The 11,498-nt window shown below is 36.9% G+C and overlaps 2 annotated features.

The window, feature by feature from the left end:
* Window positions 1,310–1,886: an enhancer, noted in NCBI's record as "OCT4-NANOG hESC enhancer chr7:137816818-137817394 (GRCh37/hg19 assembly coordinates)". NCBI's record gives its function as "activates a minimal SCP1, AML or CMV promoter by ChIP-STARR-seq in naive H9 embryonic stem cells {active_cell/tissue: H9 hESC(naive)}" and the evidence as "EXISTENCE:reporter gene assay evidence [ECO:0000049][PMID:30033119]".
* Window positions 7,611–7,720: an enhancer, noted in NCBI's record as "active region_26741". NCBI's record gives its function as "activates an Ori minimal core promoter by ATAC-STARR-seq in GM12878 lymphoblastoid cells {active_cell/tissue: GM12878}" and the evidence as "EXISTENCE:reporter gene assay evidence [ECO:0000049][PMID:35858748]".

Below are 11,498 nucleotides of genomic sequence, written 5' to 3' on the forward strand. Positions count from 1 at the left end.
GATCCACCCCTTCATGATCCAATTACCTCCTACCAGGTCTCCCTTTTAACATTGGGGATTACAATTAGACATGAGATTTGCGGGGGGACACAGATCCAAACCATACCAACACCCATGTCACTGACACCCAGATCAAGAGATAAAATATTTCCAGCACTCCAGGAGGTTCTCACCTGCTTCTCAATTCATGTCCTCCTTCCAGAGAAACCAGGATATTATGACTTCTCTTATTTGTGGCATTTACTAACTTTCTTAGCAAAGAAACTTCAGCTTTGTTTAGTTCCCAGTGATTGCAAAGTGGTATATCCTGAAGATTATTGGAAAACGACATGAGGGCTAGATTCTGTTATTTGTAGACTTTTTTATGCAAAAATAATTTGAGCTTAGTCATGCTTTTATACAAGTAATGTATTTTTGTTTTATTTTTATAATATATATCAGAAGAAAAGGGACAGACATGATGTTCATGCCTGTAATCCCAACACTTTGGGAGGCCGAGGCAGGAGAACCACTTAAGGCCAGGAGTTCAAGACCAGCACAACATTGTGAGATCTCACCTACACAAAAGAAGAAGAAGAATCTGAGACTTTGTTGGGATGTTTTGTTTCTTTGTTGCCTTTTGTCTAAAAACTTATTTACTAAAGATTTAGACCAAAATTCATAATTACTATGTTTATAAATAATAATCTAAGACTAGAAACTATGGACATACAATCCCCTAGGTATAGTTATGTAATCTTTTGGTTAATCTAACCTTGATTTCATCACTAAACTTGGCTATATCTCAAATAATTTTTTAAATATTTTCTTTTTTTTTCTTCAGTTGTTCTTACTGGAGATTTTCTGTTTCAGAAATCTCTGCCTAACATTATTCATGTGTGGCTAAGAATCCATAGGTGGCTTTTTCCCCTATATTTTTAGCTTTCTTCAGGTATAACTGACATATAAAAATTGTATATGTTCAAGGTATATAATGTGATATTTTGATATACCTATACATTGTGAAATGATTTGCACAATTAAGCTAATTAACGTATCCATTATCTCACAGTTACCTTTTCCTTTGATTTTTCTTGTGTGTGTGTGTGTGTGTGTGTGTGTGTGTGTGTGTTGAGAATACTCAAGCTCTATCTTAGCAAATTTCAAGTATACAATATAGTATTATTGACCATAGTCACCATGCCATACCTTAGGTCTCCAGAACTTATTCATCTTCTAACTGCAAGGTTGTATCCTTTGACCAACATCTCCTCATTTCTCCCCTACCTCAACCCTGTTACTACCCTTCTATTCTTTGTTTCTATGGGTTCAGCTATTTTAGATTCCACATGTAAGTATTCATCTTCTTATATCTGACATTTAATTAGCAAAATCTCCTCCAGATTCATCCATGTTGTTGCAAAAGGTAGGATTTCTTTCTTTGTTCAGGCTGAATAATAGTTTGTTATAATAAGTGTGTGTATGTATACTTGATATATATATCAAGTATAAATATATATTTGGTCTCTGTCCCTGGTTCCTGGCACACAGCTGCTAAAATCCTTGGAATCTACAAAGTGATATGTCTTTTTGTATGCTAATGAGATGGCTGATCACTGAGTACTCCAAATAACCACAGGATAGTTGCCAGGGCTGCCAACTATGTGATTGGAGGGTTAAAACTTTCAGCCCCACCCCCACCTCTAGGAAGCGGAGAGGGGTTAAAGGTTGATTTGGTCATCAAAGACCAATCATACCTACCTAATGAAGTATGTGTGTATTACACATATATATGTATAATTTCCTTGTCCATTCACCCACTGACAGACATTTAGATTGTTTCTGTATCTTCGCTATCATGAAAAATGCTGCTGCAATGAACATGGGAGTCCAGATATCCACCTTTTTCAAGATCCTGATTGTGGTTCTTTTGGATATACCCAAAAGTGGGATTGCTGCGTCATGTGGTAGTTTTATTTTTAATTTTTTGAGCACCCTTTATACTGTTTCCCACAGTGGCTGCACCATTTCACATTCCCACCAATAGCGTACAAGAGTTCCAGTTTCTCCACATTCTTGCCAATACTTGATATCTTTCATGGTTTTGATAATTGCCATTTATTGCCTTTTTCTGTTGAGTATTTGTATGTCTTCCTTGGAAAAATATCTGTTCAGGTTCTTTGCTCATTTTAAAATCAGGTTGTTTTTCTACTACTGAGTTGTAAGAGTTCCTTATATATTTTGGATATAAACTCCTTATAGGATCTATGGTTTGTGCATATTCTCTCTCATTCTGTGGGCTGACTTTTCGTTTTGCTGATTGTTTCCTTTGCTTTGCAGAAACTTTTTACTTTGATATAATCCTGCCTGCTTATTTTTGCTTTTGTTGCTTGTGCTTTTGGTGTCATTGACAAGACCTCTGTCATAGAGCTTTTCCCCTATATTTTCTTTTAGGAATTTTATGGTTTCAGATCTTGCATTTAAATCTTTAATCAAGTTTGAGTTGATTTTTGTGCATGGTGTAAGATAAGAATCCAATTTCATTTTTTTGTTTCTTTTTGAATGTGGATATCCAATTTTCCCAACATCATTCACTGAAGAGACTATTCTCTCTGCATTGTATATTCTTGGCATCTTTATTGAAGATTACTTGATCATATATGTATTGGTTTATTTATTGGTTTCCTGTTACATCCCATTGGTTTATGTGTGTTTGTTTTTATGCTTGTATCATATTGCTTTAGTTACTATCACTTTGTAATGAAATTTGAAATCAGAACACAAAGCCTCCAGCTTTGTTCTTCTTGATCAAGATTGCTTTAACTATTCAGGGTCTCTTGAGGTGCCATATAAATGTTATGATTTTTTTTCTATTTCCATGAAAAATGACATTGGCATTTTCATAGGAATTGCATTAAATCTATAGATCACTTTCAGTAATATAGACAAGTTTCCAATATTGATTCTTCTGATCCATAAACATGAAATACCTATTTATTTGTGTCTTCTTCAATTTTATTCATTAATTCATTATGTTTCATAGTTTTCAGTATACAGATATTTCACCTTTTTGGTTAAATTTATTTCTAATTATTTTATTCCCGTTGATGCTATTATAAATGTGACTTTTTAAAAAATTTCTTGTTCAGATAGTTTATTGCCAAAGTATAGAAACACAAGTGATTTTTATATGTAGATGCTGTATCCTAAAACTTAACTGAATTCATTTATTAATTCTAACACTTTTGGGTAGAATCTTTAGGTTGTTCTATACATAAAATCTTGTAATCAGCAAACAGAGACATTTTGACTTCTTTTCTGATTTGGATGACTTTTATTTCTTTATGTTGCCCAATTCCTTTGGCTAGGACTTCAGTACTATGTTGAAAAAAAAAGTGGTGAGAGTGAGTGTAATATTGTGATATAATAAAATATATATATACTTGGTCTCTGTCCCTGGTTCCAGGCACAAAGCTGCTAAAATCCTTGAAATCTGCAAAGCGATATGTATTTTTGTATGCTAATGAGATGGCTGATCACTGAGTACTCCTAGATAACCACAGGATAGTTGCCAGGGGTGCCAACCATGTGATTGGAGGGTTGAAACTTTCAGCCACACCCCCCACCTCTAGGGAGGGGAGAGGGGTTGAAGGCTGATTTGGTCATCAAAGGCCAATCATACCTACCTAATGAAGTCTCCATTAAAAACCTAAAGATGGCTGGGTGCAGTGGTTCATGCCTGTAATCCCAGCACTTTGGGAGGCTGAGGCAGGCAGATCACCTAAGGTCAGGAGTTTAAGACCAGCCTGGCCAACATGGTGAAACCCCATCTCTACTAAAAATACAAAAATTAGCTGGGCATTGTGGTGCGTGCCTGTAGTCCCAGCTACTTGGGAGGCTGAGGCAGCAGAATTGCTTGTACCCAAGAGGCAGAGGTTGCAGTGAGCTGAGATCACACTGCAGCACTCCAGCCTGGGCAACAGAGAAGGAACTCTGTCTAAAAACAACAACAACAATAACAACAACAACAAAAACCTAAAGAGACAGGTTTTGGAGAGCTTTCTGGTTGGTGAACACATTTACATACTGGAAGGGTAGTGTACCCCAACTCCATAGGGATGAAAGCTCCTATGCTCCGGACCCTTCCAGACTCCACCCTATGTATCTCTTCATCTGGCTGTTCATTTGTATTCTTTAAAATATCCTTTGTAATAAATAGGTAGATGTAAGTAAAGTATTTCCCTGAGTTTTGTGAGCCACTCTAGCAAATTAATAGAACCCAAGGAGGGGGTCTTGAGAACCCCAATTTAGAGCTGACCGGTCAGAAGCACAGGTCACAACCTGAGGCTTACCATTGACATCTGAAATGGGGGCAGTCTCAAGGAGCTGAGTCCTTAACCTGTGGGATCTGACTCTATCTCTAGGTAGATGGTATCAGAATTGAGTTAAGTTGTAGGACACCCAGTTGGTGTCTGCTGGAGAATGGCTTGGAAGTCTGGTGAAGAGCCCCTACACATTTTGCATTAGAAGTGTTGTGCTGAGGGGTATGTGGGATTAGGAAAAACACTTGGTGTTTCCCATTTCTTAATAGTGGACATCCTTGTCTTGTTCCCAATCTTAGATAAAAGATATTCATCTTTTCACCATTGCGTATGATGTTAGCTGTGGGCTGGTAATATATGGACTTTATTGTGCTAAGGAACATTCCTTTTATAACTAATTTGTTCAGAGTTTTAATCATTAAAGGATGCTGAATTTTGTCAAATGCTTTTTATGCATCTATTGACATGATTTTTGTCCTTCACTTTGTTAATACAATGTATAACATTTACTGATTTGCATATGTTGAGCCATCTTTGCATCCCAGGCATAAATCCAAGTTGATCATGGTGAGTGATCCTTTTAATATGCAATTGAATTTGGTTTGCAAGTCTATTGTTGAAGATTTTTGCGTCTACGTTCCTCAGGAATATTGGGCTGTAATTTTTTTTTTTTTTTTTTTTGGAGTGTTCTTGTCTGGCTTTCATGTCAGGATAATATTGGCCTCACAAATCCAGTTGGAAAGTGTTTCTTCCTCTTTAATTTTTTGAGGAGTTTGAGAAGTACTAGTACTCATGCTTCCTTAAATGTTGGTAGAATTCAGCAGTGAAGCCATCAGGTCTAAGGCTTTTTTTTCTTTTTTCTTTTTCTTTTTTTTTTTTTTTTTTTTGAGATGGAGTTTCGCTCTTTCGCCCAGGCTGGAGTGCAGTGGTGCAAGCTCTGCTCACTCCAACCTCCGCCTTCCAGTTTCAAGCAATTCTCCTGCCTCAGCATCCCAAGTAGCTAGGATTACAGGTGCCCACCACCACACCCAGCTAATTTTCATGTTTTTAGTGGAGACAGGGTTTCACCATGTTGGTCCGGCTGGTCTCAAACTCCTGACCTCGTAATCGGCCCACCTCGGCCTCCCAAGTGCTGGGATTACAGGCATAAGCCACCACATTGGCTTATTAGTGATTTAATATTTAATCTCCTTACTGATCTGTCCGAATTTTCTATTTCTTCATGATTCAGTCTTGTCAGGTTGTATATTTCTAGGAATTTATCTGTTTATTCTAGGTTATCCAATTTGTTGTTATATAATTATTCATAGTAGTCTCCTATGATCCTTGTATTTCCTTCTTTTTTTTTTTTTTTTTTTTTTTTTTTGACAGAGTCTCACCCTATTGCCCAGGCTGGAATGCAGTGGCGCGATCTCAGCTCACTGCACCCTCTGCCTCTTAGGTTCAGATTATTCTTGTGCCTTAGCCTCCTGAGTAGCTGGGACAACAGGCGCACACGACTATGCCCAGATAATTTTTGTATTTTTAGCAGAGACGGGGTTTTGCCATGTTGGCCAGGCTGATCTCGAACTCCTGACCTTAAGTGATCCACCCACCTTGGCCTGGGCCACTGTGCCCAGCCAATCCTTTGTATTTCTGTGTTATCTGCTGTAATGGCTCCTCTTTGGTTTCTAATTTTATTTGAGTCATCTCTCTTTTGTTCTTAGGCTAGCTAAAGGTTTGTCAATTTTGTTTATGTCTTCAAAAAAGTTTTGTTGATCTTTTCTATTCTTTTCCTATTCTCTTTTTTTTTTCCTGCTCTGATCTGTATTATTTCGTTTCTTCTACTAACATTGGGCTTAGTTTGTTCTTCTTTTTTGAGTTCCTTAAGGAATAATGTTAGATTACTTATTTGAGATCCTTCTTCTTTTTTAATGTAGGTATTTATTGCTATAAACTTCCTTGTTGGAACTGTTTTTACTGCATTCCATACATTTTGTTATGTAGGGTTTCCATTTTTGTTTGTCTCAATATATTTTTTTTAATTTCTCCTTCAATTTCTTCTTTGACCCATTGGTTGTTCAGGAGTATGATGTTTAATTTCCATATATTTCTGAGTTTCCAGTTTTCCTTCTGTTATTTATTTCTAATTTCATACCACTGTTGTTGGAAAAGATAGTTGACATAGTTTCATTTTTTTTAATTTTTATAAAATATACAAAAATATACATAGATACATATAATAGATTTTTATAATAAATACATTAAAATATACATAAATAGAGTCTTGATACGTTGACCAGGCTGGTCTCAAATTCCTGGCTTCATGCGATCCTCCCATCTCAGCCTCCCAAAGTGCTAGAATTACAGACAGGAGCCACCACTCCTGACCACATTGTTTCAATTTTTGAAATTTGTTAAGACTTGTTTTGTGGCCTAATATATGATCTTAGAGAATGTTTTATGTGTGCTTCAGAAGAATGTGTATCCTGCTGCTGTTGGATGGAATATTCTGTATGTGTCTGTTAGGTCCATTTAGTCTAAAGTATAGTTCAAGTCCAATGTTTTCTTATTGATTTTCTGTCTGGAAAATCTATCCATTGTTGAAAGTGCAATGTTGAAGTCTCCTACTATTATTGTCTTGCTGTCTACTTCTCCCTTCAGACCTATTAATATTTTCTTTATGTATTTATGTTCTCCAATGTTGGGTACATAATAGTGTGTGTGTGTGTGTGTGTGTGTGTGTATTATATATTGTTCCATATTACCTATTGTTCTATCATCTTGATGAATTGATCTCTTTATCACGATATAATGGCACTGTATGTCTCTTTTCACAGTTTTTGACTTAAAATGTATTTGTCTGACATAAGTGTGGCTACTCCTCCTCTCTTCTGGTTTCCTTTTGTATGGGATGTCTTTTTATATCTCTTTACTTTCAGTTCACGTTTATTCTTGAAGCTGAAGTGAGTGTTTTGTAAGCAGCATAGAGTTGAGTCTTTTTTCTATCCTTTCAGCCATTCCATGTCTTTTGATCAGTGAGTTTAATTTATTTAATGTAAAATAATTACTGAAAGTAAGGACTATTTCCATTTTGTTCATTGTTGTCTGGCTGTTTGGCAGATCCTTTGTTTCTTTCTTCCTCTCTTGCTGTCTTTCTTTGTGATATGATGATTTTCTGTAATGGTATTGTCTTATTCTGTTTTGTATTGCTATGAAGGGATATCCGAGGCTGAGTAATTTTTAAAGAAAAAAGGTTTCTTTGGCTACAATTCTGATGTTTGGAAAAGTTCAAGATTGGGCATCTGGTGAGGGCTTCCATTTATGGTAGGAGGTGAAGGGGAGCTGGAATATGCAGAGATCTCATGGCAAGAGAGGAAGCCAGAGGCGGAGGTGCAAGGCTCTGTTTAACAATTACCTCTCATGGGAACTAACAGAGTGAGAACACAGTCACCCCCAATGGAGGGCATTAACTTACTCATGAGAGATCTGCCCCCACAATCCAAACATCTCACATTACGCCCCACCTCCAACATAGAAAATCAAATTTCAACATGAGTCCAAAATACCACATGTTCTCATTTATAAGTGGGAGCTAAGCTATGGGCACACAAAGGCATACAGAATGGTATAATGGGCATTAGAGACTCAGAAGGGAAGAGGGTGAGAGGGGGCTGAGGGATGAAAAACTACCTATTGGGTACAATGTACACTACTCAGGTGACAGATGCACTAAAATCCTAGACTTCACCACTATCCAATTCATCCATGTAACCAAAAAACACTAGTGCCTCTGAAGCTACTGAAATTTAAAAGTTTTTTAAAAATTCAACATGAGGTTTAAAGTAGACAAACCATATTTAAACTATAACTAGATACGCTTTCATTCATTTCTCTTTATCTTTTACGTATCTTTGATAGGTCTTTTCTTTGTGATTACCATGAGGCTTACATATAACACCTTATAGTTATAACATGCTATTTTAAGCTTATAGTAATTTAAATTTGATCCCCTCCCCAACATTCTCTATATATATTTTAATTATGACATTTGAAGAAACTTGAAAAAAATAAATATTTTATACACCACACACACACACACACACACACACACACACACACACACACAAAGTCTTACTCTGTTACCCAGGCTGGAGTGCAATGGCATGATCTTGACTCACTACAACGTCCACCTCCTGGGTTCAAGCAGTTCTCCAACCTCAGCCTCTTGAGTAGCTGGGATTACGGGTGCATGCAACCATGCCCTGGTAATTTTTGTATTTTTAGTAGAGATGGGGTTTCACCATGTTGGCCAGGCTGCTCTCGAACTCCTGGCCTCAAGTGATCTGACTGCATTGGCCTCCCAGTGTGCCGAGATTACAGGTGTGAACCACCACGTCTGGCCACATTCTGTATTTTTGATGTCACAATTTGCATATTCATCTATGCTAAGAACTGACTCAGATAAGTGATGGTTTGAGATAAGCCTAGATAGGTAAATAGGACATGACAGAACTTTAGTCTTGTTTTTCCTAGAAGGATATAGAAAATCACTGAAGCAATTTAGACGAGGAAGTAATACTAGAACAGGCAATACAACATCTCAAATTCATTTTGAGTTCTAACTCTAAGGAACACATTTTGCACAGGTTTATATATATGTTAAATGCATTTTTCTTGGTGCAAAGTCATCAAAAGTACATACTAACAGAGCTTTCTTCTATTACATAAACATCTGCCATTTACAATAAACAAGGGAAGTATTAAAATAAGAGACAGAAGATGGTTTTCTTCAATTTATGTAATCTGTGTCTAGATATCAAGACACTAATAATCAACCTTAATCATTCTAATAAATTCAAGATATGGAACACAGAGGTGCAGATACACAACACAATTTGCAACACTTTTCATCTTCTCAACTAAAATAATCCATATAAAATTATGGTTATTTATTTTAGAGAAGGAGTCTCACAGTGTCATCCAGGCTGGAGTGCAGTGGCACGATTACAGCTCACTGCAGAACTCCTGGGCTTACGCAGTCCTCCTACCTCAGCATCCCAAATAGCAGGACTTCAGTTACACACCACAATATCTGGCTAATTTTTTTTTTGAGGGCGGGAGGCGGTAACAAAGTCTCACTCTTGTTGCCCAGGCTGGAGTGCAATGGCATGATCTCGGCTCACTGCAACCTCCGCCTCCCAGGTTCAAGCGATTCTCCTGCCTCAGCCTCCCAAATAGCTGGGATTACAGGTGCCTGCTACCACGTCCAGCTAATTTTTGTATTTTTTAGTAGAGACAGGGTTTCACCATGTTGGCCAGGCTGGTCTCGAACTCCTGACCTCAGGCGATCTGCCCGCCTCGGGCTCCCAAAGTGCTGGGATTATAGGTGTAAGCCACCGTGCCCAGTCAATATCTGGCTAATTTTTAAATTTTTTGTAAAGATAGAGTCTCACTCTATTGACCAGGGTAGTCTCAAACTCCCGGTCTCAAGGGATCCTCCTGTTTTGGCCTCTCAAAGTGCTGAGATTACACGGATGAGCCACTATACCCAGAACATACCTATTTATCCATTTAAAAAAATCCACATTATGTTTGGCCAGGTTTTACAGAGCACTTTTGATCACATTACACAATAGGAAGGGCAAGTAATACACCAATTTTTCACTTGTAAAAATGGAGACTCTGTGTTTTTTTTCAGCAACACTTACATAAACACAGTAGAAATGTAATACTTGGTTGTGGAATGCCTGAACAAATGAAAAATAAATACATATGTCTGTAATTTTTTAAATTTATTTTTAATTGACAAATAAAAATTATACATATTTATAGTGTATGACATGATGTTTTGATACATCTTTTTTTTTTTTTTTTTTTTTTTTTTGAGACAGGATCTGGCTCTGTCACCCAGTCTGGAGTGCAGTGGTGCAACCTCGGCTCACTACAACCTTTGCCTACTGAGCTTAAGCCATCCTCCTACCTCAGTCTCCTGAGTAGCTGGGACTACTGGCACCCACCACCACGCCCAGCTAATTTTTGTTATTTTTTGTAGAGACGGGGTTTCGCCATGTTTCCCAGGCTGGTCTCAAACTCCTGAGCTCAAGCAATCTGCCCACCTTGGCCTCCCAAAGTGCTGAGATTACTGGCGTGAGCCCCTGCACCCAGCCTTGATACATCTTTTTATATTGTGAATCCATTAACAAATTATTGTAGTTACAGTTTTTTTGTTTTGTGTTTTTTTTTTTTTTTTTTTTTTTTTTTTTAGAGACAGGGTCTTGCTGTCATTCAGGCTGGACTGCAGTGGCTCAATCATAGCTCACTATAACCTTGAACTCCTGGCCTCAAGAGATCCTCCTGCCTCAGCCTCCCAAAGCTCTGGGATCACAGGTGTGAGCCACCATGCTCAGCATTATAGTTATTTTTAATGTTCATTTCTTTTAACCTTTGTGTTGAAGATATAAGTGACAGATGAGTGATATACGTATTTATGGTTTTATTCCTTTTTCTACTAATCAATTAGTGGTGTATCGAGTTATTTTTGCTTCTTTTCTGGATTTTACTTAGAGCAAATTTCCCAAAGGAAAAGAAAATGTATTGATTTGTTCTACTGTTTTTTGTTTGTTTGTTTTCTGTCTTCTTTTACTGATATCTTTTGTTGGTTTTTCTTAGCTTGTCGATAAATTTCTAACTTCTTAGGTTGAATACCTATTTCATTCTTTTTTTGGTTTTTCTTCTCATTTAGTAATATAAACATTGAATACAATAAATGTTTCTCTACGTACTGTTTTGGTTAAGATCTTATAAATGTAATGTTTTCAATTTTGTTATTTTCTAGACATTCTGAAATTTGATTTTGGTTTCTTCTTTGATTAACAGTTGTTCATGAGAGTTCTTATTTATTTTAATTTCTGATGTAGAGCTTTATCTTCTATCTTGGATATTTTATTTTTCATCATGCTGAGCTCAGATAATATCATCAATCAATGTTTTTAATATTTCATGAGATTGTGACAAGATTATTCTAAAGTACTGGGTTAGATGTAATGGACATACAGTCATGTGTTATAGATTTTTATCATCTAATATTGGAAAAGTTGTTTTGAGTGAGTGGTTTCATTCCTTTACCGTAGCGATTTTTTTTTTGTTTTATTATTATTATTATTATTTTTTGAGACAGAGTCTTGCTCCATCACCCAGGCTGGAGTGCAGTGGCAC

Source organism: Homo sapiens, chromosome 7 (genome assembly GCF_000001405.40).
Source record: "Homo sapiens chromosome 7, GRCh38.p14 Primary Assembly".
Classification (NCBI taxonomy): Eukaryota; Metazoa; Chordata; class Mammalia; order Primates; family Hominidae; genus Homo; species Homo sapiens.